We start from the raw sequence: 26,601 nt of genomic DNA on the forward strand, positions 1-26,601 counted from the left end.
GAGCCTGGGCAGATTGGGGCCTGTGGAGGCCGCACTAGGATCGTAGAAGGAGTGGAGCCGTGCTCTCACCCTGTCTTAGAGGACCCGGAAGCGCCAAGTGACTGAGGGCCGAAGACACTCACCTGTGGAGCCTGTGCACGTAGGTAGAGGCGGCGGCTCTGAGTCCAGGAGCTCCAGTGGGCAGCTCCCCAGGTAGGGCCCAACTCGGGGGGAGAAGAGATGACCCTCTCCCCTCCCGCCCTGCCCATCTGTCCTGCCATCCTACATTCCTTCCTTCCTGTCCGCGGGCCTGGGTCCACCCCTAGCTGTAAGATGGGGACGCAGGGGTGGAGGGACTGGCCTCATTTTGTCCCTTTTTCCCTGGCCCAGCGGCTGCAGGCCCCCTGGACACCCAGAACGTAGAGTCTGGAGAGGAGACGTCGAAACCTCCCAGGGGAGGCTGGCCCAGCTTTACCCCAGCCTGACTGTGTGACCTTGAGGAGGACAGCCACTTTCTCTGGTACCCAGTGTCCTCAGTTGCAAAACAGTGACTGGCCCTTGCCCTGCTTGCCCTGAGACTGGGCAGATCAGATGCTGTAGCTGCTGGGGGCTGGGGTGGCGCTTTCTCTCTACTGGGGCACTAGGAGTGCTTACTCTCCTGCTCCCTCTGGTCCTCGGTGGAGAGCCACACCCTTCATCCACCCAAACCTGGGAGCCCCGAGGGCTGAGAGCCTAGTCCTAGGGCAGCTTGCTCTGGCTTCCCTGTGCTAGAGTTGTAGTCTAGCCTGGAAGGCCTGTGAACATCCCCAAGGTGGGGTGTGAGGCCTACGTGGAGTGCACATGCTCGTTTTGCAAATAGTGGTGCCACCATTGTGCATGGCCTTGAGTGCCAAGTTAAGAAGTCCAAACTCCGCTGGGCGCGGTGGCTCACGCCTGTAATCCCAGCACTTTGGAGACTGAGGCGGGTGGATCATGAGGTCAGGAGATCGAGACCATCCTAACACGGTGAAACCCCGTCTCCACTAAAAATACAAAAAATTAGCCGGGTGTGGTGGCACACGCCTGTAGTCCCAGCTACTCGGGAGGCTGAGGCAGGAGAATTGCTTGAACCCAGCAGGCGGAGCTTGCAGTGAGCCAAAATCATGCCACCGCACTCCAGTCTGGGTGACAGGGCAAGACTCCATCTCAAAAAAATAAATAAATAAAAGAAGTCCAAACTCTCAACTGCTGGCAGGGGCAGTTCATCAGAGTATGACCTGCAGTGCCCACAGGACCAGCCTGCATGAGTGGGGCTGTCATGATGCTGCTGCTGATAGGTGTACATACAGGTTTTTATTGCATTCCAGGGCTTTACACAAAGTCATTAGTTACTCACACGTGCCTGATGTTATTCCCATTTTGGAGGCTGAGACTGAGGGTCAGAGAGATGAAGTCACTTGCCCATGGTCACAGCTAGCAAATGGCGGAGTGGGGATCAGCACCCAGATAATCTGGTGCCTTTTCTCCTAATGTCCTGTGGCCACCCGTGATCTGGGCATCTGGTTATAAAGTCTTAACCTAGGACAGCTGGAGAAAGGAGGGGCTGGATGAGCAGGAAATTGGGGGAGAAGATTCAGAGGGCTAGGGAGGGAGAGAGGGGTAGTGACTAGTCCTAAGGGGTATTCGGCTTCCTGGGAAGGTGTGAGGAGTGAAGTGGCTGATTTTAGACATGTTAGTTTGTGGGTGGAGGGTGATAGAGGGGAGCCAAGCAGAGCTCTCCTCTGTCTGGAAAAGAACAAGGAGGTAGAGCTGGGTCCTGGGAAAAGGGGGTGCCTAAGGGATAGGTGAAGACAGAGGCGGGCTCACAGAAGGCCCCCAAAATGCTGAGCAGGCAGATGTGGGGGGGCTCACTGGAAGCCCCCAAAATGCTGAGCAGGCAGATGTGGGGGGCTCACAGAAGGCCCCCAAAATGCCGAGCAGGCAGATGTGGGGGACATCCATTGGTGAAGTGGGGGGAACAGAGAGAGGAGAGAATTCTGGACTCCCGTGACATTAGATCTGAGGGAGATGGGTCTAAAAAACTGAGGCCTTGGTTCACAGAAGGGGAAACTGAGGCCAGCCAGTTACTTGCCTGAGAATACTCCAGGGCTGGATCCGAGTAGGACCCCGGGTGCCATCTCTGCTATTCGGCCCTTTCTACTAGATCGTGGTTCTCAGCTGGGGGCAATTTTGTCCCCCAGGAGACATTTAAAAATGTCTGAAGACAATTTGGCTGTCACAACCTGGAGCTGCGGGGGATGAAGTGCTACTGGCATCTAATGGGCAGAGACCAGGGATGCTGCTGAATATCCTACAGTGCACCCACCCACCCCCCAGCAAAGAATTATCTGGCCCCAAAGGACAGTAATGCTGAAGCTGAGAAACTGCACTAGGGCTTAATAGGGCAGAAAGCTCAGGCTTGGGCCTCCAGCTGGATGGACCTTTGCCCCAACCCCGGCTCTGCCCCTCCCCATGCTTGCTCCTTAATTCCTGGAAGCCTCTGGAGTCCTCTCTGCTTTTCCTGGGCACAGTGGTTTAGAGGTCTGCCCACCAAGTGTCTGTCACCACTCTGTCTCCCCAGACCTGTATTCAGAGTTTGGCATTAGGTAGGGAGAAACCAAAGTGGAAATGTCCCATCTAGCACATGGCAGGTGCCTTGCAGATAAACTTGATTTGAGTGACATCTTAGGGGTCCAGGGAGTTTCATTTCATCCCATTTTCACTTTGGCAATTTGAATTGTGTCTTATGTTTGTGACGCTCTGACATAGACTGAAAGAATCCACTGCTTCATCCGATGTCCTAGGATGGGCAGGATGTGGCATTATCTGAGAAATGCTGTGGAGGTGGGGGTCTTGTCGTTTAGGCTCTTCCAAGAGTAGACTGTGGACTGGGAACACAAAAGCAGTTCCTTTCAAACACATGAAAGGCTGCAGGAATCACCTCGGGATCCTGTTAAAATGCAGATGCTAGGCCAGGTGCAATGGCTCACGCCTGTAGTCCCGGCACTTTGGTAGGCCAAGGTGGGAGGATCACTTGAGTCCAGGAGTTTGAGACCAACGTGGGCAACATAGTGAGACCCTGTCTCTACAAAAGAAATTTAAAAGTTAGCCAGTTATGGTGGTACATGCCTGTAGTCCCAGCTACTCAGGAGGCTGAGGCAGGAGGATCACTAGAGCCTGGGAGGTTGAGGCCGCAGTGAGTCATTTTGGTGCCACTGCACACCAGCCTGGGTAACAGAGTGAGATCCTGTCTCAAAAAAAAAAAAGAAAAGAAAAGAAAAGAAAAATATGCAGATGCTGATTCAGTAGGGCTGAGTTGGGCCTAAGTTTCTGTTTCTAACAAGCTCCCAGGTGATGCTGATGCTGATGTTTGTTGCTGGTGCATACCACATTTTGAGTGCAGGGCATTGCAGGGCTGTGCAGAAGTGGCCATGGGCCATGCAACCAACTCTTGGGTGGTTTGGAAGCATGGAGTGGAAGGAGACCATGCTCTAGAGTCAGGAGAGCTGGATATGAGTCTTTACTCCCTCTCTCCCCTCCCTATACCCCTTCTATGGCCTGTCAGCTTAGAAGAGCTTGAATAGTTTCCTCACCTGTAAAGTCACTTAACCTTGGGTAAGTCACTTAGCTTCTTTGCTAAGTGGTCTTGCATGGCAGGCTGTCCTCCAGGGGTTCTGACCCAGGGTCTGAGAGAAGAAAGTGCTCTGTAGAGATAGGACAGTCTGGGTCTTGGCAGGCAGAGGGGCAGCAGGCCACTGGCCTGGCCAGGAGGGCAGGGGTGATCACCTGAAGCTGCTGGGGCAGGCACTGTGCCAGCTTGGAGGAGGCTCTCATCATAGCCCTGTTTTTTCTCTGAGGCCGCCTCAGCCTCCTGCTTTGGGCTTACCCAGGCCTGTCTGGTGTGGGAAAGCTGGAGAGACCGGTCTGGCTGGGGGAGGGAGCAGCTTCAGTGGGCTGAGGCCAGCCCAAGGCCTGATTGTGGGTCTGAGCGCCTAGCCAGCTCAGCCCTGGTCTGAGGAGCTGGGGTTAGGGTTGAAATTGGGGTCTGAGAACTATAGCCTGGACACCGCTGGGGTCAGGCTGTGCATGGACAGGCTTCCCACCAGGGAAACTGGGAAGGAATTTGTAGTTTGGGGCCTTAAGCCCCCAGCTATAGGGGATGCTCTGCCTTGAGCATCTGACCCCAGGAATGGGGCTGAACAGAGCCTTGAGTACCTGGGGTGCTCCCACCCTTGGTCCCCCATAAGTCAGCTACAATCGCCCAGCAAGACACCTTCCAACTCACAGGACCAGCAGATAGCAAGACAGCTGAGCCCATTTCTCAGATGGAAAAGTGGAGGCTCCTTCGTTCCCACTTCTTGGGAAAAGAAGAGTACTCATTAGCACAGTCACCCATTATCCAGCAGGGCCCTGGGCCTGCTATCTAATGAGGCTGCCCCCTCTTCCCACCCCCTCCGTTTTCACAGTTGGACCATCCCAGTGGAACCACACAAACCTGGGTTCAGATCTCAGGTTCCCTCCTTCATAGTTATGAGGCTCTGGGCAGGTCACTCCACCTCTCTGAGCCTCTGCTGGCTCATCTGTAAACAGGAATAATGACACCCGCTCAGCCAGCCCCACAGGGTTGTTGTGAAGATGAAATGAGCCGTACCCACGGAACACTGTGGTCATTATCATTAGTCATGGCATTTAGAGGCACGAGGCAACTGGGTATTGTTTTACCTTGTGCCCTATTTTACAGATGTGGACATCGGCACTTGGGGAAGGAGGCGGCTGCCCAAGGGTCCCTTAGCAGGGCAGTGGGCAAGCTGGGGTTAGACCCACATCTACAGGTGTACCTCCCATCGCACAGCTGCTGCCATCTGTGCAAAGGCACTCCAAGGCGTGACACAAATGTAAACTTGGGGGTCTGTGTGGTCAGGCTGCAGGAGCTTCTTGTGGAGGAGCTGGAGCAGACCTTTGTGCAAGCCACTGCCTTTCTTTGCCAGCACCAGCCATGAACTACGTGGGGCAGCTGGCGGAGACGGTGTTTGGGACGGTGAAGGAGCTGTACCGGGGCCTGAACCCAGCCACACTGAGCGGCGGCATTGACGTGCTGGTGGTGAAGCAGGTGGACGGCTCGTTCCGGTGCTCACCCTTCCACGTGCGTTTTGGCAAGCTGGGCGTCCTGCGGTCGCGGGAGAAGGTGGTGAGTGCTCAGGCTGGCTGAGGTGGCTACTGCAGAGTGGGCTTTTTAAGCTGGGGCAGCCACTACAGTCCCAGGACAGGACCTGGGGCCTCCCTTAGGTGGGGATCTGTCCTCTGGACAGGCTTCCCTTCATTTGTACTTTCTTTGAAGGTTTTTGGGTTGATTTGGGGGTTTTGGTCTGGGAGGGTTCACAGTTAGTTTCTCATGGAAACAGACCAGTAGGGCTCATCCCAGTGCTGGGGCCGTCAGACCTGGCTCAGCTTACTAAGACCTTACCTGTGTGTTCTTGGTAAGTCACTTCATGCCTCTGAGCCCAGTTACTTCACCTGCACAAATGGATATGATTTTATCGGCCTAATGATGCTGGTGGGACAAGTCAATAGCAACTGATAATACTGTCTCAGGGCCAGCTATGTGGGAAACACTCAAATGTTAGTTTCTCTCTCTTAATAAATCCACTTCAGGCTGGGCATGGTGGCTCACGCCTATAATCCCAGCACTTTGGGAGGCCGACGCTGGTGGATCACCTGAGGTCAGGAGTTTGAGACCAGCCTGGCCCACATGGTGAAACCCAGTCTCTACCAAAAATAGAAAAATTAGCCGGGTGTGGTGGTGGGCACCTGTAATCCCAGCCACTCCGGAGGCTGAGGCAGGAGAATCGCTTGAATCCAGGAGGCAGAGATTGCAGTGAGCCAAGATTGTGCCATTGCACTCTAGCCTGGGCGACAAGAGCGAAACTCCGTCTCAAAAAATAAATAAATAAATAAAAATAAATAAATAAATCCATTCCACCTTCACAGGGCTCAGGCAAGCACAGCAGAGATTTTTGTTAGCAGCAAGGTCTAGGGTGTGAATCAAGATTCACACTGAGGCAACTGTGACGTTTCCAGGATCCTAATAGAAAAGTGTAGCCTATGGGAAATAGTATATCTAAGAGGCTAGTAGCTTGGGTTGTAGACTCAGCCTTTTTGGCTTCATAAGCTCACTTGCTGTGAGGCTGCCTCCTAACCAATTACTCAAACCCCCAAAGCCTCAGTTTCCTCATCTGTAAAGTGGAGGTAATGATAGGAGCTACTGCAAGGGGTTGCAGAGATTAAATGAGATAATCTATAGAAAACACTCCACAAAGGGCCAGTACACTAAAATTCCCACCATTGTTTATGCAGCCAATAACCTGGGGGCTGGGGACACAGCGATCACAAGAGAGACCACGTCCCTATTCTTATGGATGTGAGAGACAGAGGGAAGAACTTGGAAACCAGGCAATACACAAGAAGACCGAGACAGTGACAAGTACAATGAGGCTCAGACAGTGGGGCAGTGTGAGTGAGGGAGAGATGGGTAGGGAGCTCAGTGAAGGCCTCTCTGAGGAAGGGGAGATGCAGCAGAGCCCCCCTTCGTGGGGAGCAGCCAGGCACTTGAGGTCCGGAGGGAGGGAACCCCAGCAAGTATGGTGTTTGGGGCGGCAAGGAGCCACTGGAGGACCAGCCAGGAGGCCTGTGGTCGGAAGCATGGGCGTGAAGGCCCATGTCCCTGCCACCGCTTTCCATTTGCAGGTAGACATTGAGCTCAATGGGGAGCCTGTGGACTTGCACATGAAGCTTGGGGACAGCGGGGAGGCCTTCTTTGTTCAGGAGCTGGAGAGCGATGATGTGAGTCTGCCCTCCTAACAGCACCTGCCCCGCCCACCCCTTTCCTGTGCCTCTTCTGGGCAGAGCCTTGGGATTTGTCACCATCCTCGCCCTTCCCCGGGAGCACCCCACCAGCAGAGGTCTGAGGCAGGGGTATCAGTTGGGGCTGGCCTCTGGCACACGTGATATGCTGTGGGGGCCCAGAGGAAGAGGCCAGGGTACCAACTGACTCTATTTACTGGGAAGTTGGGGAAGGTTTCTCAGAAGACTGGACCCCTGAGCTGGGCCCCTGTGGGATGAAAAGGAGGCCTTCCCCAGGCAGCTTGAAGAGGAGGCGGGAGCTGAAGAAAGGGGCTGGGAAGTATAACATCTGGCTTGTCCTGGGTCTGGTGCCAGCTCCGTGTGGCTGGAACCTAGAAGTGTGTAAGTGGTGGGTGTTCGCACAGGGGAGGCAGGGCCCAGCAGAAGCCAGCAGAGGAGTTGAAACAGAACTTGAAAAACTTTGAGTCCCTACTGTAGGCCAGACACTGTGCAACAGACTCAGATGACGGGTGACCCCTGCCTTCAAAGAAAGTTCCAGGCTGTTCTGGGAGCTAGACACATAAACAATGGATGATGAGCCGTTTGGTCATTGCAGTGAGGGATGTTGGGATTGGGAGAGGGATAGTCAAGGCTCCTTCCTGGAGGAGGAGACATATGGCTGAATCTTAAAGCAGAAGTAGATGTCTGCTGTCATAGACTTGGGTAGAAGAGGAGATCAGAGGCCGATGCCAAGATCTCTGCCTGGCCTGCCAGGGTGGCAGGTGGCTCTGTTGGGGACCTCTGAGGCCAGCAGTGGCTACAGGGCCAGGCTGGTGCCTCCACACCTGTTTTCCTGACCCTAAATGAGCTCACTCCAGGGCTGGGACCCAGGCAAGGCTCAAGATGACTGTGTGGTGAGCGCAGCCCCACTAGGGTCAGCCCCCGACCTCAGTTCTTGGTCTGTTCCACAGGAACATGTGCCTCCCGGCCTGTGCACCTCACCCATCCCTTGGGGGGGTCTGTCTGGCTTCCCCTCGGACTCCCAGCTGGGCACTGCCAGTGAGCCTGAGGGCCTCGTCATGGCAGGCACGGCCTCCACTGGGCGGAGGAAGAGGCGTCGCAGGAGGAAACCCAAGCAGAAAGAGGATGCAGTGGCAACTGATTCTAGTCCAGAGGAACTGGAGGCAGGCGCTGAGAGTGAGCTATCCCTGCCGGAAAAGCTGAGGCCAGAGCCCCCAGGGTGTGTAAGGACCAAGGGACTTGAACCCCAGTTTGGGGGTTCAAGTGCTGTTTCCTCTGCTCATGCTGTGTGACTTTGGGCAAGGGCCTTGACCTCTCTGAGCAGTAGTTGCTTCACCTTACCAAGCCCCTGATGTCCAGGCTCTCATGCCTGCCTGGGGCATCCTGCCTGATCAGTGACCATTTCCTTGTGGCCCCTTAGCAGTGTCCAGTTGGAAGAGAAGTCTTCACTGCAGCCCAAAGACATCTACCCCTACTCGGATGGCGAGTGGCCCCCCCAGGCCAGGTAAGAGTCCAGGTGGGCTGCAGGCCAGGACTCCAGATCAAGGTCTGAGGTTTCCATTTGCATTTTTCCTGATGACTAATGACACAGGACCCATTTAATGTGTTTACTAGCCATTCGTATTTTTCCTTTGTAAAGAGTTCAAGTCTTTTATTGATTTTTTTAAATTGCGGTAAAATATACATAACATAAATTTACCATTTTAACTATTTCAAAGTGTATACAGTTCAGTGGCATTAAGTACATTCAGTGTTGAATGACCATCACCACTATCTAGTTCCAGAACATCCCATCCCCCAAATGGAAACCCTATGCCCATTAGGCAATCCAGCTACAACTTTGCCATCTTCTTTTTTTTTCCTTCCTTCCCTTCCTTCCTTCCTTCCTCCCTCCCATCCTTCTTCTTACTGGATTGTCTTCTTCTTGTTGATTAGTATAAGTTATTCATATATTTGTATACTCTTTAGATCTTTACATATTCCTTATATATTATGGATTCAACACAGGCATAAATATAGGTTGCACATATTTTTTTCCCTGGCTGGGGTGGGCAGCAGCGGGGATGGGTAGGCAGGCTCAAGGCCTCTCAATATGTCTCCTGCAGCCTCTCAGCAGGTGAGCTAACATCCCCTAAGAGCGACTCGGAGCTGGAGGTGCGGACCCCGGAGCCCAGTCCCCTAAGAGCCGAGTCCCACATGCAGTGGGCCTGGGGGAGGCTGCCTAAGGTGAGTCCCTCTGTATCAACCCCAGGCCCGGCCTTTCAGGGGCTCTGTGGCCCCCATGGGTCAGGGTTGGAGGGACTGAAACTCGGGCCACTGCCCCAAAAGCTTTGTGGGGCATGGGCCTTACCCTGGCCCACATCTTCCTCCATTTGTTCCACTAAAGGTGGCCAGAGCTGAGCGGCCCGAGTCCTCAGTGGTCCTTGAAGGCAGAGCTGGGGCAACCTCTCCTCCTCGGGGAGGACCCAGCACTCCCTCTACCTCTGTGGCTGGCGGCGTGGACCCTTTGGGACTCCCAATCCAGCAAACAGAGGCTGGTGCCGACCTTCAGCCTGACACAGAGGATCCCACTCTAGTGGGTCCCCCTCTCCACACCCCAGAGACAGAGGAAAGCAAGACTCAGAGCTCTGGGGACATGGGCCTCCCTCCTGCCTCCAAGTCATGGAGCTGGGCCACTCTGGAGGTTCCAGTTCCCACCGGGCAGCCAGAGAGGGTCTCCAGGGGGAAAGGTGAGTGACGCTGGGTCTCTCCCACTGCCTCCCTGGCCTCGCTCTGTCCCCTGGGTGGGTGCTGGGACTTCAAGTACATTTTGAGCACCTGCTGTGTGCTAGGTGCTGTTCTTGGCACCAGCCTCATGAAGCTCACAGTGCAGTGTGGGAGACAGATGCTGCATGTGTGGAAGGGCGTGCCACAGGCATAGTCATTGGTTGGAATGGGAGCTGTTTAAACCAGGTGGTCAGAGAAGGCCCCTCCGAGAAGGTGATGTTGGAGCTAAGACATGGATAATGAAGATTCAGCCAAGTGAGGAGCAGGGGAAGGGAATTCTAGGCAGAGGAAACAGTATGTGCCAGGGATGTAAGGCTGGAGAGAAGTTTCATGTCCAGAAACTGAAAGCAGCTGGCGTGCCTTGAGCAAGAAATGGAAGACGGCCGGGATAGGAAGTTGGGGAGATGAGCAGACTCAGATGGCTCCAGCTCACAAGCTCAGGTTTATCTAAAAGTGCTAGGAAAGCACGAGACCTGTGCTGTCCAAATCAGTAGCCACTGGCTATATGTGGCTATTTAAAATCAAATTAGGGACAGCATGGTGGCTCATGCCTGTAATCCCAGCACTTTGGAAGGCTGAGGTGGGAAGATTGCTTGAGGAGTTCAAGATCAAGCCTGGGCAATGTAGTGAGAACCCATCTCTACAAAAAAAAAAAAATTTTTTTTTTAACTAGCCAGGCATGGTGGCATGTGCCTGTAGTCCCAACTACTGAGGAGGCTGAGGCAGGAGGGTCACTTGAGCCCAGGAGTTCAAGGCTGCAGCGAGCTATGATCATGCGATCACACCACTGCACTCCAGCCTGGGTGACAGATAAATAAAAATTAAAAATTAAATTAAATTAATTGCAATTAAAATATAAAATTCCATTTTTTTTTTTTTTGAGATGGAGTCTCGCTCTGTCACCCAGGCTGGAGTGCAGTGGTGCGACCTCGGCTCACTGCAACCTCTGCCTCCCGGGTTCAAGTGATTCTCCTTCCTCAGCCTCCTGAGTAGCTGGGACTACAGGCACATGTCACCACGCCCAGCTAATTTTTGTATTTTTAGTAGAAATGGGGTTTCACCATGTTGGCCAGGATGGTCTCGATCCCCTGACTTTGTGATCCACCCGCCTCAGCCTCCCAAAGTGCTGGGATTACAGGTGTGAGCCACCACGCCCAGCCTAGAATTCCATTTCTCTGTCACACGGTGATCACATTTTAAGTGTGCTCAATAGCCACATGTGGCTAGCAGCTAATATATCAGGCAGTGCAGACATGGGACATTTGTATCACTGCAGAAGGTTCTGCTGGGCAGCACTGCCTTAGAGAATTCAGAGTCAGAGGGCACTTACTGTCCACACTGCTGAGCACATGTCAGCTCTACAGATATCCTCTCTTCAACTCTCAGGCTCCCCAAAGAGAAGCCAGCACCTGGGCCCCAGTGACATCTACCTGGATGACTTGCCCTCCCTGGACTCTGAGAATGCAGCGCTTTACTTCCCCCAAAGGTGCCTGGGTTCTGGATGCCAGGGTGTCTTGGGTCTGGGCTCCTGGGGCCAAGGGTCCACTATCAAGGGCCTGTGAGGAGGGAGGACCCATCTCCCGCCCTCCTCGTATTCTTGTCATTGTTGGCCCCTTTGCCTGCAGTGACTCTGGGCTGGGGGCCAGAAGATGGAGTGAACCCAGCAGTCAGAAGTCCCTGAGGGACCCCAACCCTGAACATGAACCTGAACCCACTCTGGACACAGTGGATACAATAGCACTGTCCCTCTGTGGTGGACTGGCTGACAGCCGGGACATCTCCCTAGGTATGTTCGACCATGGCCAAGCCCTTTTGAGGGCTGGTGCTGAGCCCAGAGGATGGGGAGGGCAGGGAAGACTGTGAGGGTGGGGCAGTAGAGGTGAGAGGCTGGGCTTCCCTGCAGCTCTCTGCCCTGTGCAGTCCACACTCCGCCAGCAGGGGCTGGACCTTCCCAAGTCCCCATGAAGCAAAATGCTTGACGCTAAGTTGTGAGTTATCCTGTGAATCCTGGGGTGGGAACAGGTGTAAAAACCACAGGTAGGGAGGAGCACTGCCAGGTTACAAAGCCAACCGACAGGAGGTGAGCAGCAGAGTGGGGAGCACCAGGGGGCTGGGGCAGCGGGTCACATGGGATGTGCCAGCCTCACCCCTCACTCTGCCTCTGTGCCCAGAGAAATTCAACCAGCACAGCGTCTCTTACCAGGACCTCACCAAAAACCCCGGACTTTTGGATGACCCAAACCTAGTGGTGAAAATCAATGGAAAGTAAGTCCCAGAGCTGGGGCTGCTGGCAGCCGGAGAGTCATTTCCCTCTTCACAACCCTGCAGCTGCTGCAGCTTGATGCCCTGTTCTGTCTCTCTAGGCATTATAACTGGGCTGTGGCTGCCCCCATGATCCTCTCCCTGCAAGCCTTCCAGAAAAACTTGCCCAAGGTAATGGTTAGAGCACCACTGCCCCTGCTGGGGAAGGTAGCCATAGACTCAGGGCACGGAGACCCTTAGCAAGGAAGTGAAGGGTGAGCAGAGATGGGCCTGGGAGCCAGGGGCTAGCTGGCTGCAAGACTCACTCTGGGAGAGGCGACACACGTCCCTGAAGCCTTGCCTCACCCTTCCCTGGTTTCCTGGCCGTGGCTGAATCCTGTTGTATTTAAACTTGACTTCAGAGGAGCTCAGGACAAACCAGAGGGGAAGAAAAATCCAACAGATGCTTAAACAAGGACATGTCTTTAGCAGGAGGCCTTTGCATCTGAAATATGGGGAAGCCTTTGGATCTGAAATACGGGGTTTGGGAAATGGAAGTTGCACCCTTCACCTTGCCTGAAGACTATTCCTCCAGGCTGGGCTGAAGGGTGCTTACTTTCTTTATCTGCACACATTTCTTGAGTACCTACTATGTCCCAGGCCTAGGCTGGGGACAGTCATGAATAAACGAAACAAAATTATCCCTGCTCTCAAAGGAAGACGAAGTTAACCAAAGACTCATCCAGATGAATATAATTCAGTCCTGAGCACTGGGAAGGATGGGTGTGCAGTGCTTGCAGAGCCTATGGCAAGGGGGTTTGATAAGCAAGTGCCCGCTGTGCAGAGATTGAAGGATGGGTGGGCCTTGAGCTGGCCAGGGGTGGGGAACAGCATGTATGATGCCCAGAGGGGGAAAGGAATGAGGGTATGCCTAGCCTCTTTACTCTTCCCAGAACCTCTTCCCTGGTCTTCCCAGCCACCTTCCCCTACTCATGGAGGATGGTGCCCTCCTGGGCAGTGCCAGCCTGTGCCAACCTGCACCTGCCCCTCTGGGAGCAATCCAAGGCACCACACTGACCTGGCATGGCCTATTGTTCTTGGCTTGCCCAAAGAGCATCACTAACAGATGTTGACAGCTGTCACTGCCATTGGGTGACAGCTTTGTCCTCTGGCTGGTACAGGGTCTGAGGTAGGACCCAGAGTCTGTGGGAAGGAAGAGGGTCCCTTCCCTGCTTGGATCTCCTCACCTTACCCAGACAGACCCACCGCTTGAGGCCCCTGAGAGACCCCTACCCCACCAGCCTGTTCCCAGCTCAAGGGGGCCCCCTGGCTATTCCCAGCCCAAGCCCACATCCTCCTGACTTGGGTCTGTAGGATGCTGGTGTGTCCCCCAGATGGGACTTGGCCTGGCCTCTCCCTGGGGTTATCTATAATAGCATAGATCTAATCAGCATTTTTTCACAAGGTCAACTTGCCCCCAACCAGACAGTTATGGTAACATACAGAAAAGGGGGTTGTTCATGGAATAGGATCACCAACCTTAGGAGGTTGCCTGGGGCAGTCTTGGAGGTTGAGGGGAGTACCAGCTAAAGATTGTTCTCCCTGCTGCCACTTGGTCACAGCATAGGGAGTACCAGATCTTGAGAAACTCCCAAAGCATTGCTTTTAACTACTCTAGTAAAGGAATGGATCCACAAGATTTGGAGGCCAGGCTGAGGCTGGGTTAGAGCTAGGGACCGGGGCTGGGGGCAGGAATAGCCCTTGGTCTTTTGAGTATAGCTCACCCAAGTCATTGCTTGGAATCCCAGGATGGAGGTGAGCACACTTCCTTGGCCTCCAGATGTTGACAGCACCTTACCCTAGGGTTGGCTCAGACTCTGGGCTCATGCGTGGAGGGTCCCAAGAACAACGTAAGGTAGGAGGTTTATGTGGTGCAGGAAACACTGCCATGGCTTTCATCTGCCCACAGAGCACCATGGACAAGCTGGAGAGGGAGAAGATGCCCCGGAAGGGTGGGCGATGGTGGTTTTCCTGGCGACGCAGGGACTTCCTGGCCGAGGAGGTGGGTGGTCACAGTCGAGGGCCAGGGCCAGGGCCAGCACAGGGCGGGAGGTGGGATTCACTAATGGATGTTCTTTCCACAGCGCAGTGCCCAGAAGGAGAAGACTGCAGCCAAGGAGCAGCAGGGGTGAGTGAGACCCCCTATTGGGGCTCTGCAGGGGGAGCCTGGGAAAGATGGCCCTGGGTGCAGGTGGGTGGCAGGGAGGAGCCAGCACCCTGTCTCCAGCTGTGGGTTTTTTTTTTTGTCATTCCTCAAGCACCAAGCACTTCTTTTTTTGTTGTTTTTGTTTGTTTTTGAGACAGAGTCTGGCTCTGTCACCCAGGCTGGAGTGCAGTGGTACGATCTTGGCTCACTGCAACCTCCACCTCCCGGGTTCAAGCGATTTTCCTGCCTCAGCCTCCTGAGTAGCTGGGATTACAGGTGCCCGCCACCACACCTGGCTACTTTTGTATTTTTAGTGAGACAGGGTTTCACCCTGTTGGTCAGGCTGGTCTTGAACTTCTGACCTCAGGTGATCTGCCCACCTTGGCATCCCAGAGTGTTGGGATTACAGGCGTGAGCCACCGCAAGCACTTCTATACCTTTTCTTTCTCCTGAGAAATGGCCCCATTTTACAGATGGGAAAAATGAGGCCTAGAGACACATTTCCTGGCCAACAACCAGGAAATGGCAGAGCTGACACAGGTCCTCAGGCTCCTGCCCCAGACAAGGGGATCCCTATTAAGGAGGGGCAGGGCCTCTCGCAGCCCAAATAAGCCAGCTGACTTTGTTTCTTTTCCACATCTGAAGTGACCCAGCTGCCTAAGGCTGGGTGGAGAGTAGCTAAGGATGGCCTGACTGAAACCAAAGCAGGTGGGGTTGGGAATAAGCCCAGAGATACACTTTAGGTATTTCAGGTAAATATCTCCAAGGCAGACACTGAGGGCTGGCAACCCTGGGTCTCGGCACCCTCTGCTGTCACTTGGCTGGGTGGAGACTGCCAGCCTGCACCCCTGTGTCTGCCACCACTCCAAATGGGTTGCACCTAGAGGGAGGGATCACTGATACCCTGGGTAGGCCCTGGCATGGCGGGGACAGGTCCAGCCTCCTCTTGGCATCTCCCGGGAGTGAAGGCCCTTTGGCTGGAGGAGATGGCCTGAGAGCCAGTGTGGTCCACAGGGAGAAGACAGAAGTCCTGAGCAGTGATGACGATGCCCCAGACAGCCCTGTGATCCTGGAGATCCCCTCCTTGCCACCCTCCACTCCACCCTCCACTCCTACCTACAAGAAGTCCCTCCGCCTCTCCTCCGATCAGATCGTAAGTGTGGGTTGTCTGTGTGGAGGTTGGGGAGGGGCTGAGCTAATTCTGTCTTAGAGTCCCTCAGGACCTGGCTGAGAAATGGCTCCAGGGAGCCACATGTTCACCAAAGGCCAGAATCTATCCCCTTGGGAGCCTCCCTGATGGCCTCCACTTGAATACCTCCAAGGGCAGGGCGCTCACTTCTCATGACAGCCCATTTGTCTGTCAGACACCGGGAAAGCTGTCTCTTAGGTCCTCCTAAGATATCAACCTGTAGTGAGCCAGCAGGCTCTAGGTCAGCCCTTGGAAGCAACACTAAAAAGAATCAAATGCTAATGACAGCCCCTCAGATTCTGGCAACCCTTGGCCCCAAGTCACCTCTTCTCTAAGCTCAGTAACTGGTGGCTCCTGGAATAAGAACATATTTTCTTCATGGTTGTGGCTCCATGGTCAGGGAAGTGTCCAGGAGGGGCTGACCAGCCAGTACAAAGCAGCTGCCATCTGTCTGGTACCCTGGAGCTCACACTCAACTCAGGGCTTTGGTGGGAAGCGGCCCTGATCCTTCCCTATGGATCAAGTACAGGGTTAGGCCTCTCCTTAGGACAATGTTGACTCAGGTACCCTGGCCCCAAGGAGGGGCTTCCTATGGAGATCCCCACAGGACCCCCATCTATGGAGGGGGGTGTTTTCCTGCCAACAGCAGTCCCAGCCTTGGGGCTGGCCTGGGAATCCTGGGCAGGGAGTCATGGATGCGGCTTTGTGGGTTACATCTCAAAGGGGAGTGAAGGGAGGCTAGGGCTCCTGTGGCCTGCACTGGACAGGGCCCTGATCAGCATGGCCACCCTCTGCCCACATGGATGTGTCTGTGCATGGCTATCTCTGATGAATCCAAGAAGCATCTCTGAGCTGGGAGGAAGAGGAGAATGAGAGGCCCGAGGGGATCGGAGGCCACGGCGTAAGGGGAGAGGTAGGCAGTGCCTGGCTGTCATCAATCACGACACACCCCCCTTTGTCTGGCCTCAGCGGCGCCTGAACCTGCAAGAAGGTGCCAATGATGTGGTCTTCAGCGTGACCACTCAGTACCAGGGCACCTGCCGCTGCAAGGCCACCATCTACCTGTGGAAATGGGACGACAAGGTGGTCATCTCTGACATCGACGGCACCATCACCAAGTGAGGCCCACCCAGCTGTGGGAAGGGGAGGGAGAGGGGTTGTGGACTCGCCTCCCTCTGTGCTGGGTGTGGTGGGGAGTGAGAGGAGCCCTCCCTTCCTGGTGGGCCATCCTGGGGCTGGAGCTGGGCCACGTGGAGCTGCCTTGGAGTAACCCTTCCTCTCTCACTCTAGGTCAGATGCTCTGGGCCATATCCTGCCCCAGCTGGGGAAAGACTGGACACACCAGGGCATCACCAGTCTCTATCACAAAATCCAACTGTGAGTGCCTGGGCTGGGGCTGGGGCTGAGGCGAGGCCCCCAGCTCTAGAGAGGGAGTGACAGGACAGGACATCTTGGGGACCAGCAGGGCCCACAAGGCAGGCTGCCAGGGCAGGTGCCTGGAGTGCTGAGACCTCTCTATTGGCCCGCAGTTCTGGGAAAGGCTCATCCCCTGGGGCTGTGTTCTAGGATCAGGGCCCACCTACTGGCCTGCAGCCGGAGGGGAGGCCCTCTCCATCCTGGTCCACCCAGGCCTCAGGACTCTGTGCACCGTCCAGCTGAGTCCACTGCCTGGCCGTTCTCTTCAAGTCCCCTCCCTGCAAAGGTTGGAACATCAGAGTCCCACAGTTGGGCTGGGCAGGCTAAAGCCAGAGAAACAGATGGGGGCTGGCTGGTCTCTGATGGCTCTATGCCACCCTGTCCCCCACTCTCAGAAATGGGTACAAGTTCCTGTACTGCTCGGCGCGGGCCATTGGCATGGCGGACCTCACCAAGGGGTACCTGCAGTGGGTGAGCGAGGGGGGCTGTAGCCTCCCCAAGGGCCCCATCCTTCTGTCTCCCAGCAGCCTCTTCTCTGCCCTCCACAGGTAACCACCCCTACACATACAAGCCCGTGGCCCCCTGGTGGGGAAAGGCAGGCCCACTGCCAGGCCAGCCTTAGCAGGCTGGCATTAAGCTCTCAGGTGGCAAGGAGGGTGGGGTCAGACCCCCCATCACCTGAGCCTGCCATCCCCTCTGGCTTCTTCCCTACTTTGGCCCCCTTCCCTGCTGTGGTTCTGGCCACCCCAGAGAGGTGATCGAGAAGAAACCAGAGGTGTTCAAGGTCGCCTGCCTGAGTGACATCCAGCAGCTGTTTCTGCCCCACGGACAGCCCTTCTATGCTGCCTTTGGGAATAGGCCCAATGTGAGTGTGTCCCCTCCACTCTGCTGAGCCACCTCTCCCCAGCTGCCTGCAGGCCTCCATTCCATGGGCCCCTCCTGTCTCCCACAGGATGTCTTTGCCTACCGGCAGGTGGGCCTGCCTGAGTCACGCATCTTCACAGTCAACCCCCGGGGAGAGCTCATCCAGGAGCTCATAAAGAACCACAAATCCACGTGAGGCTAAACCCTGCCATGTTCCCCATGCCCTACCACGTCCCCCTGCCCTGGCTTCTCCCTGGGCCCCAATTTTACCTCTTACCGGGGAGTCTGTCCCTTACTCTGGGACAGACCCATGGCCAAGGCCATCGTTTGGTGGCAGCTCAGGCTCAGTGCTGGCCCCCTTCTGCCTGTAGGTATGAGCGGCTTGGTGAAGTGGTCGAGCTCCTCTTCCCACCTGTGGCCCGTGGCCCCAGCACAGACCTGGCCAACCCTGAATACAGTAACTTCTGCTACTGGCGGGAGCCACTGCCTGCTGTGGACCTTGATACCCTGGACTGAACCTGCCCTGGCTGGCTCCTCCTCCCTGGCCCGGCCCAGGACTGGCTAGGTGTCCTGGGGTATAGGAGGGTGGGAATTGGAGTGTCATGGGGCAAACCCACTGAAGGGGAAGGAGGAGGCTGCAGGTTGGTTGGCAGCTAGAGAGACTCCCCCATCTTCCCCGTCATATTTTTGCCAGCTAAGCTGCAGCTGCTCCAGGCGTCAGTGTGGCACTGTCCTGGGGCAATTAGCTTGTCATCTGGGCCCTTGCAGGGTTCTTTTTTTTTTTTTTTTTTTTTTTTTCCTGAGACAGGGTCTTGTTCTGTTGCCCAGGCTGGAGTGCAGTGGCATGATCTCTCGGCTCACTGCAACCTCCGCCTCCCGGGTTCAAGCGATTCACCTGCCTCAGCCTCCCAAGTAGCTGGGATTACAGGCGTGTACCACCACGCCTGGCTAATTTTCGTGTTTTTAGTAGAGATGGGTTTTCACCACATTGGCCAGGCTGGTCTCGAACTCCTGACCTCAAGTGATTTGCCCACCTCGGCCTCCCAAAGTGCTGGGATTACAGGCATGAGCTACCATGCCAGGCCTCCTTGCAGGGTTTTCTATGCCCTTGATATCTGTCTCCCTGTCAACCTGGGACCTTGCTGTAAGTCTTGATAGGACAGGGAGAAGAGGGAGGCCCTACCGAGGCTCGAGGCTTCAGTGAAGGGTGACAGCAGTGGGAGTGTGGTACAGCCTCTGGAAGGACACAGTGTTCTCCCCGCCCCTTGTCTGGGAGCCAGGACTGTACCCTCCGAAGCCAGACATCACTGCCAACATATCCCCCTTGCTGGTGCCCTGGCATCTCAGCACATGACACACACCCACACCTGCAGGCTGTGGTTCCGGCTTGGCCTGCTCCCCGTCCGGCTGCTGCCGCTGCCTCTCTCCAGACCTCGCTTAAGGACAGTCCCAAACTCAGCTGGGGCAGGTGTTGGCCTGAAAGTCCTCCCCCAGCCTCTGCTGGCCAGCTTGGTGCTCACAGCTGCTGGGTAAGCTCTTGCCTAAGGAGCTGTGGGAAGCAGGGCTGATGCCCCAGCAACCTCTCCTCCCACTGTCTTTGAAGAAAGTAGCTTTAGACCGGCTAAAAGCTTTAATCCAGAGCCTGCCCTACTCTGATAGTACCAGAGTGGAGGGCAGAATACCAAATGTCCAGGAACCAAAGGCAGGGCTGTGGGGACCTGAAGAGCAGCACAGTGGGGCCCGTGCTGCTGTGGGGGAAACTGAGGCTGGGAGCCTCAGCAGAGACCGGTGTCAAGAGTCTCTGGGAACTGCATAGGCCTGAGGAACATGCATTTTCAAGTTGTCCATTGATGGTTTCGTACCTGAATTTCTCACCTTTTGTGAACATCTTGGGAGGGTGGGGGTTTTGCAGGGGTGTTAAAAGCAAGGCTTGGAGCCCCTTTCCTCCAGCTGGTGGCTCCTTCTCAGGGCCTGGCCTCATTCAGGCCACTTTGTAGAGAAATGCCCTGACCTCGCAGGAAGGATTTCCCCACCCCCAAGTGGAAGGAAGAGGACAGTGTGGGCACCAGAGGGCCCTGGAAACATCTTAGGGGAAGGAAAGGAAAAGGATAAATTTGGAGTGGGGGGTCTCTAAACAGATTGCCTGGATTCCGTTCTTTCCTGGGGTTCTACAGCTGCCTAAGCCCTCACCTTGGGGGAGGATCAAAGGGAATAAAGAGAACTCTTGGCTGAGTCTTTGTGCTTCTGTTCTGTCCTGAAGGACACGTGAGGAGCCAGAAACATCTGGCAGCCTCTGGTCCTTAGTTCAGATACAACATCCATGAAGCTGCCAGGTGTGAGGAGAGTTCCAGTGGGCATCACCTTCCTGCACAAACCTAGTCCTGATGGCTGCGAAGAGAAGCCGAGGGGACAAGGAACAGAAGCCACCAAGGGCTGTGGACTGTTGCTTGTGGGCACAGGGCAATGCGGACAGGCCACTGGCTGTGGGCCTGTAGGTCTCTGCACAGTTGCTGAGGCTGGTGCTGACTGCCTGCAGGGTCCTCTCAAGGCCTTACATACGGACACTGATCAAGGCCAGTTTGCCACAGCAGCTGCCCCTGCCAGCCATGCTCAGGCCCTGCAGCTGGCTGTCCAGACACTGATTTGCTGACAGTGGAATGTGAACTCTCTCAAGTCTACCCTGGCCTTCAAGCATGACATCCTTGCCTTGACCGCTGTCCGGAACTGTCCAGTTTCTGCAGCACTGTGCATGGGTTTTGGTGGCTGGGACAGCCACGTGGAGGATTCCCTCAGTGGCCTCCTTAGTGCCATTTGGGCTAGCCAGGGAAGGCTGGAAGGCGCTGCTGGATAAGGCTGGGCTCTGGGGTGATGTTCCCCGAGTTGGTGGGATCTAGGGGTTGGGTCCTGGCCAGCCTGTCTAGTTGGCTTGCCCTGGCCGCACCTGCTCAGCCAGCTGGGCCTGGCAGTCCAGTAGGTCATCCCGGAGGCGGGCAATGTCCTGCGTGTGCTGGGCCAGCGTACGATTCAGCTGGTCCACATGGCTCCACAGGCCCTCTCTGGGCCTCAGTGGCTCAGTGGGCAAGCTGTCCAGGCCCGCGGCCAGCAGGCCCAGCCTCCTGCACGCACCCTCCACTTGTGCCACCCGCTGGTCAAAGTGTCCCACTGTGTGCTGAAGTTTCTGGGCTGTGTCCTGGCAGCGGCTCAGCCCACTGGCCACCTTGGCCACACCAGCCTTGAGTTGCTCCAGCTCCCCACGCAGGTTCAGGACCTGCCTGTGGCCAGCCTGAAGCCTGGAGCCTTGGCTGCTGACCTGCTCCTGGATGGCCTGGACTTCGGCTTCCACCTTGCGTTCCCGCTCATCCAGGGACGTGTTGGCAGCCAAGAAGGCATCAGAGTACTGGCTGACAGAGTCACTGAGGCCTGTGAGCGACTTGCTCACTGAGTTCAGATTGACCTTGAGCAGAGTGATCTCGCCTTGAAGTGAGCTGCCCGTCCCTTCTGCCAGCTGTCCCTGGACCTCGGCCACAGTGCCATTGAGCTGCTGGAGCAGTGCTGCGTGGCTGGCCACCTGGCGTAGGAGGGCCTCGCTCCGGCTCTGCCAGGCCTTCACCTCTGCCACGAGGCTGTCCAGGATGGCTGAGGTGGTGCTCGGGGTGCACGAAGTCTCCAGTGAGACCAACCGTTGCTCTAGCACAGCCAGCTCTGTCTGTACAAGGGGCCGAGCTGACCTGCCCGGAGAGGCGCTGTCATGGCTTAGCTCCCCAGCCAATGTTGCTAGGCGCTCCTCGAGGCTCTGCACGCGCTCTTCCAGCATGGTCCCAAAGCCGCCCACTCCCCACCCCCCCATGTCCAACCTCAGACAGCATCCCCTTGCTCCACCCTCTGTCCCATTGAGCGTCTCCAGACCCTCAAGCAGCCCGTCCACACCTCCCTCGAGCATGGCAGCAGAGAGCCTCGTAAGCTCATCCCCGGCCGGGGCACCGGGGCCCCTTTGGGTCTCGGTGACTGCCTGCAGGGCCCTCTCAAGGCCATCCATACGGGCATTGATCAAGGCTAGTTGCCCACAGCAGCTGCCCCTGCCAGACACGCTCAGGCCCTGCAGCTGGCTGCCCAGCTGTGACAGCTCCTGGCGCAGGGCCAGCTCCCGGCCATCAAGGCTCTGGTGCAGCCTCCGGCTGGCGGCCTGACCCTCCTCACATTGCCGCCGTACCTCCTGCACCCGCAGGTCACACTCACTCTGGACGCCTTGCAGCTTCTGCTCAAAGCCATCCAGCAGGCTCCCCCAGAGTCGGTGCAGCCGTCGGTCCACGTACTCCTCCAGCAGGGCCAGGGAGGTGAGCGGGGATGGTGGGGCTTCCCGCAGCCGCTGCAGGTGGGCCTCATGGCCAAGTGCCAGCCCATGCACCTTGTCTAGAAGCTGCACCTTGGTCTGAAGAGTGTTGCTCACCTCTGTCACCTTGCTTAGGATCTCGTCTAAGGGAGGTGTTAGTGGCCCTCTGGCTCTGTCTCCTGGGCCCACAAGCCCCTCAGGGATGACCCCAAAGCCCACAGGGACAGCAGGAGCCCTGGGGCCACCAGTCATCCTGTTGGGATCCTCGTGGCTAGCCACCAGGCCACTGAGGGTACCATATGTTTGAGCCAGGCGCTGGACATCACCCTCCAGGCGTTCCAGCCGCTCACCAAACAGCCCTGGGCCTTTCCTTCCTGGGAAAGAGAAGAGAGCCCCAGGGGCATCACTGGCCTCACCCTCTCAGCTTGTCACAATGCCAGGCCACCCAAGAGACTTTCTGTTCTTTTTTTTTTTTTTTGAGACAGAGTCTTGCTCAGTCGCCCAGGCTGGAGTGCAGTGGTGTGCTCTTGGCTCACTGCAAGCTCCGCCTTCCGGGTTCATGCCATTCTCCTGCCTCAGCCTCCCAAGCAGCTGGGACTACAGGCACCCACCACCACGCCCGGCTATTTTTTTTCTATCTTTAGTAGAGATGGGGTTTCACGATGTTAGCCAGGATGGTCTCGATCTCCTAACCTCGTGATCCACCCGCCTCGGCCTCCCAAAGTGCTGGGATTACAGGCATGAGCCACCGCGCCCAGCCCAGACTTTCTGTTCTAAGCCTACCTTCTCACTGGGCATAACTCCCTCAGCTTTATGGTGGGGTGAAAGTGGGGCTTGGGGCTTGCCCCTCCCCATCCATGCCGGAGCTCAGCCAGCCTGGGATCAGTCCCCTCCCTGCCCCTGCCACTGAGCCCAAGAAACCCAATCACCTTGGAGGGTCTCCTTGGGCAGACTCACCATGAGGGCTGGGGGCTGCTCTGCTGTAGGAAGGGGGCCTGGGGCCTGGGTCCAGCTGCCCTGAAGGAATCTGAGGCTCAGGCTCCAGCTGGGGTGAGGCAGCCCCATGGTCCGTGAGGTGCTCAGGGCAGCGTTTCCCAGTGAAGCCGGGACAGCAACGCCAGGCGAGGTCTGTCACTGTCTTGTAGCCAACCTTGTATTTGGGTCTGAGTACTGTGCGGTACCTGGGCCAGGGAGGGCAAGAGAGTGGGATCCTGCACCTGAGGGCTGTGCTTCTCCCCCTAGCTGGCACTCAGGGCCGCCCTCAGACACTTGCATAAGGCTGGGTATCTCCCCACCTCCATAGCACCCCCAGGGCTGTACTTTTTCTGTGCTTAAGGTGACAGGGGTGGGTAAGGGCAGGCCTTCCTGAAGCTCACAGTCATGTTAGGGAAGGATGCAGGTAGAAGTCCCACCCATCCTGGTAGCTTGGAGAGAAGCAGGAATTTTGCCCCATCCCTCCCAAGACCACTTGGACCCCCTCTAGCTCAGGCTGCCATGAGAAATTCCACTCAGGCTGCAGTAGCACCTGGGAGAATCAGACACAGCCCCAGCCCTCCCTGTGGGCAGGGAGGGGCACTGCCCTGGAGCTGGCGCTGGCAGCCCCCTCACTGCCCTGGGGGCCACTCTTGGCTCCTACCTGCTCCCCTTAGTTCTTTCCACTCCTCTCTAGCCTGCTCCGGGACCTCGGCTCTGGTCAGAGAGGCAGATGGACGGGTACCTCTGATTGTGAGCAGGGAAGGGAAGGTCCAGGGTACAGGCAGGCTCGCGAGGGTCCATGCCCTCACTGTTCAGCCACGTACCTGTTCACCCACTGACACACCGGAGACAACAGGTTTGTTTCCACACACACACGTGAACCTCTCCAGGTACAGAGCTGTGCATCCCATGTGCGTGCAGCCCTGCTGCTCCGGCTTCCTCTCCCTGCCCCATGGCCTGCCTCCTTGTGGTCACCACAGTCCTCCCTGGGCCTGCCAGGCCCCCCTGTGGCATCACCCGTTGCCTAAGGGGCCCTCTGCTCCCTCCTCTCCCCTCACCTTCTGCCTCTGTCACTTCCTCCTAGCCTTGTGCTGCCTCTGCCCCCAGAACCTTCCCCTTGTCCCTCTGTGGTTCCTGGGCTCCAACCCAAGCCTGCCCCTGTCTGTGCGGGTGATGCTCTGCTGCAAGCCCAAATCCCTGGGGTCCTCCTTGGCACCCTCTTTTCTGGGGCCGCCTTCTACTCTGGCCTGTATGGGGGCTCAGGTGGGCTCTCTGGAGTCCAAGAAGCCCCTTGTGGAGTTGGCAGCTGCTCTCAGCTGAAGGCAGGACTGGCGCTTGTGCCAGGGGATTCCAAGTGTGTAGGTGAGGAGTGCACTTACGTGACTGTCCCGGGGCACTTGGGCCCCCATCTACACTGCCGGTATTCAGCCTTTACGTAGCTCTCCGCTCCCTCCTGTAGGATGCAGGTCACATTCCTGTGCACCACATAGGCACAGAGGGCCCTACAGGAGAAAATGGCACCCCTGGAATATCTGGCTGAGCGAGGCCCACAGAGGCGCCTACCCTCCCACCTCCATCTGTGGGCCTCAGCAGGACTCCAAACTCCCATGTCTCTTCTGTCTGTTCTCTGTGTCCCTGGGAGCCAACGCCCTTGGTCTGGGGTCCAGCCCCGCTGCTGGTCTCTGATTCCAGCCTCCGTGATGGGTGGCCCCTGGGCTAAGCACTATTTGGAACCAGGAGCCTGATGTGGCTGCCCCTCCCTGCGTGGGGAAGAGGCCAGCCCGGATTCTCCCTCAAGTGCCCTGCCACACCCCCCCATCCTTCGCTGATTCCAAACTCCTTATCTTGGCATTTAAGGCTTCCGAGTCCCCACTCAGTGACTCCTTTGAGAGCACCATGTCTTGTCCTTCCTCCCTGCCTGGCTCCCGGGGAAATCCACCTCTCCTCGTAGTTTTGCAGCCCCTGCCTTTGGTCCTGTTCCCTTACTCTCAGAGCAGTTCTTGTACCACCTCCTCCAGGAGGCTCGCTGTGATGTACCCAGGCCCACTGAGTGTCGGTACTCTTCCTCCTACAACAGCTCTCAAATTCAGCTAGAATTCAAGTTCAGCCAGCACCCCAGGCAGAGCCTCCAGCCCACTTAACTGAGGCCAGTTCGCAAGCCACTGCCCACGAAACACCAGAAGCTGAGGCGGGGAAAGCAGGCTCCTTGATGAGCCACAAGGGCTGAGGAGGTGGCTGCCTGGCATAAGCCGACCGCTGTGGACGGCTGTGCCACAGCACAGGCCCGGAGCCAGGAGCCCGCTCTGGCTCTGCAGCCCGGCCACGCTGGGGCTCCCATGGGGTTGCTGGGGCCAGGCTGACTGCGAGAGGGCAGCGGCCGCCCGGATGCGCAGCTCTATCTCCTACCTGGCCGGGCCAGGGGAGAGAAGGGAGGCCCGGGGCGGGGGAGCCCCGCGTGCTCAGCGCGCGGACCGCCTTTCCTCCTCTCCCTCCACCTGGTCCGCTCGCCCGGAGTCTGCACACAGCGCAGCTGGAAAATGTTACTTCGCTGGAAAGGTTTCCGCTGGCACTGCCAGGATCCCAAGCCGCCGCGCCAGGCCCCCTCGGTTCCTTTTTCCTCGCCAGCCCCGCAACCTCCCGGAGCGTAGGGCGCTCGCCTGGGCAGGGGCTCGGCCCCGGGCGCCGCCCCCTCTGTGCAGCGGCCTCGGGGTGCCCGGGGCCTCGACGCCCCCCGCGGGTGCGGGCAGGTGGGAGCGGCGACGCGCGCGGGCCCATCCCTCCCTCTTCCCGCCCGCCGCCCGCCCGCGCTTACTTGTGCGGCCCCGGGCGCAGCCGCGGGCGCCATCCCGTCGTGTAGAGACTGTAGCGGGAGGCACCGGGCGGCGCAGGCCGCGCCAGGAGCGGGGTGCCCCTGGCCTGCGCCCCCGAGAGCAGCGCCGCGACGGCGCACAGCCAGACGAGCAGGCGGCGGCGGCCCATAGCGGCCCCCGCGCCTCTGCCCGGCCCCGCGCGGTGCCCCCCGCCGGGTGTCCGCCTGCAGCGCCGCGCCGCCCCCGCCGCTGGTCGGCCCGGGTCCCGCCCCGAGGGTCCCGGGGTCCCCTTCGGCCCCCGAGCTCGCTGGCCCGGCCGCCTGGCGCTTCGCGGCGGCTGCGTCCCGCGGAGTGGCCGGCGCTGCTAGCGGCTGGGGCCGCGGAGGGGAGGCGGGAGGCGGGCTCTTTGCGGATTAGCATAAACTTGGGGCCGCGCCGCTCGCCGCCGCCAGCCCCTCGCCCCAGCTCCGAGCGGACGGCCGAGGAGCCGCCTGCGAACAGGAGGTTCCAAAGGGAGCAGCCCCAGGTGGCAGGGGCGCAGGCCGCCGCGCCCTGGGAGGCCCCCCGAGCACACCAGCCACTCTGTCGCCTGCGGGCACGGGGCGAGACGCAGAGAAGCGGACCCCTGAGGCCAGCCTGGGCGTGGACTTTCCAGGAGTCGTCCACCCTCAGGATACGCTTGTCTTCAGAGTCCGTGTGAACCCGGGAACTGCTCTCCAGGGCTCTGGAGCCGAGATGGCCGTGACTGGGGGCACAGCAGCACCACCTCCCCCGCCACCTCTTTGGAATAGACCCCAGATCATCCCCGTTTGCTCGCTCTGCCTCCTGGCCCCATCATTGCCCGGGAACCTTAGTTTGATAACTCCGCTGACCTCTCCCCAGGCATCCCACCTCCCCCTTACCCCGCAACCTCTGCCACGTAGCCTGGTGGCCCGGTTGCACCTCT

The 26,601-nt window shown here is 57.4% G+C and overlaps 2 protein-coding genes across 27 annotated transcripts, besides 4 other annotated features; one reads left to right on the plus strand and one right to left on the minus strand.

The window, feature by feature from the left end:
- LPIN3 (lipin 3) lies at positions 11 to 19,772 on the plus strand. 26 transcript variants are annotated; one of them, XM_011528997.4, is made up of 21 exons: positions 11 to 192; positions 370 to 499; positions 4,986 to 5,185; positions 6,742 to 6,837; positions 7,809 to 8,077; positions 8,279 to 8,362; positions 8,964 to 9,084; positions 9,245 to 9,587; positions 11,011 to 11,110; positions 11,250 to 11,410; positions 11,796 to 11,889; positions 11,988 to 12,057; positions 13,835 to 13,927; positions 14,010 to 14,053; positions 15,086 to 15,224; positions 16,230 to 16,378; positions 16,551 to 16,637; positions 16,827 to 17,147; positions 17,427 to 17,541; positions 17,629 to 17,732; positions 17,912 to 19,772. In XM_011528997.4, exons 3-21 carry the CDS (start codon positions 4,994 to 4,996, stop codon positions 18,054 to 18,056), a joined length of 2,727 nt encoding a protein of 908 aa, XP_011527299.1. In that variant the 5' UTR covers positions 11 to 192; positions 370 to 499; positions 4,986 to 4,993; the 3' UTR covers positions 18,057 to 19,772. The 26 variants fall into 26 exon arrangements, 22 of the variants coding, with proteins under 22 accessions (XP_011527299.1, XP_047296340.1, XP_047296342.1 ...); XM_047440384.1 differs by having other exon boundaries at positions 17,072 to 17,224; XM_047440386.1 differs by having other exon boundaries at positions 8,282 to 8,362; positions 17,072 to 17,224.
- Positions 6,225 to 6,748: an enhancer, noted in NCBI's record as "H3K27ac-H3K4me1 hESC enhancer chr20:39975675-39976198 (GRCh37/hg19 assembly coordinates)". NCBI's record gives its function as "activates a minimal SCP1, AML or CMV promoter by ChIP-STARR-seq in primed H9 embryonic stem cells {active_cell/tissue: H9 hESC(primed)}" and the evidence as "EXISTENCE:reporter gene assay evidence [ECO:0000049][PMID:30033119]".
- Positions 17,245 to 17,852: an enhancer, noted in NCBI's record as "H3K4me1 hESC enhancer chr20:39986695-39987302 (GRCh37/hg19 assembly coordinates)". NCBI's record gives its function as "activates a minimal SCP1, AML or CMV promoter by ChIP-STARR-seq in naive H9 embryonic stem cells {active_cell/tissue: H9 hESC(naive)}" and the evidence as "EXISTENCE:reporter gene assay evidence [ECO:0000049][PMID:30033119]".
- Positions 17,853 to 18,460: an enhancer, noted in NCBI's record as "H3K4me1 hESC enhancer chr20:39987303-39987910 (GRCh37/hg19 assembly coordinates)". NCBI's record gives its function as "activates a minimal SCP1, AML or CMV promoter by ChIP-STARR-seq in naive H9 embryonic stem cells {active_cell/tissue: H9 hESC(naive)}" and the evidence as "EXISTENCE:reporter gene assay evidence [ECO:0000049][PMID:30033119]".
- On the minus strand, positions 19,152 to 26,008 carry EMILIN3 (elastin microfibril interfacer 3). Its single transcript, NM_052846.2, has 4 exons — positions 25,658 to 26,008; positions 24,225 to 24,347; positions 22,828 to 23,051; positions 19,152 to 22,244 (listed from the first exon to the last, which is right to left on the minus strand). Exons 1-4 carry the CDS (start codon positions 25,822 to 25,824, stop codon positions 20,458 to 20,460), a joined length of 2,301 nt encoding a protein of 766 aa, NP_443078.1. The 5' UTR covers positions 25,825 to 26,008; the 3' UTR covers positions 19,152 to 20,457.
- Positions 24,745 to 25,246: an enhancer, noted in NCBI's record as "H3K4me1 hESC enhancer chr20:39994195-39994696 (GRCh37/hg19 assembly coordinates)". NCBI's record gives its function as "activates a minimal SCP1, AML or CMV promoter by ChIP-STARR-seq in primed H9 embryonic stem cells {active_cell/tissue: H9 hESC(primed)}" and the evidence as "EXISTENCE:reporter gene assay evidence [ECO:0000049][PMID:30033119]".
- Positions 26,009 to 26,601: the final 593 nt, after the last annotated feature.

The sequence above is a fragment of the Homo sapiens genome, chromosome 20, assembly GCF_000001405.40.
Source record: "Homo sapiens chromosome 20, GRCh38.p14 Primary Assembly".
Taxonomy (NCBI): Eukaryota; Metazoa; Chordata; class Mammalia; order Primates; family Hominidae; genus Homo; species Homo sapiens.

What these genes read in the sequence shown, in the direction of transcription:
- EMILIN3 (NM_052846.2), bottom strand. Translation starts at nt 25,824, where the DNA reads ATGGGCCGCCGCCGCCTGCTCGTCTGGCTGTGCGCCGTCGCGGCGCTG. An exon ending in AAGTGCCCCGGGACAGTCAC is followed by an intron (nt 23,052 to 24,224) that starts GTAAGTGCACTC and finishes TCCCTGGCCCAG; the next exon opens with GTACCGCACAGTACTCAGAC. An exon ending in AGCAGCCCCCAGCCCTCATG is followed by an intron (nt 22,245 to 22,827) that starts GTGAGTCTGCCC and finishes TCTCTTTCCCAG; the next exon opens with GAAGGAAAGGCCCAGGGCTG.
- LPIN3 (XM_011528997.4), top strand. Translation starts at nt 4,994, where the DNA reads ATGAACTACGTGGGGCAGCTGGCGGAGACGGTGTTTGGGACGGTGAAG. An exon ending in GAGTGGCCCCCCCAGGCCAG is followed by an intron (nt 8,363 to 8,963) that starts GTAAGAGTCCAG and finishes TGTCTCCTGCAG; the next exon opens with CCTCTCAGCAGGTGAGCTAA. An exon ending in GCGCTTTACTTCCCCCAAAG is followed by an intron (nt 11,111 to 11,249) that starts GTGCCTGGGTTC and finishes CTTTGCCTGCAG; the next exon opens with TGACTCTGGGCTGGGGGCCA.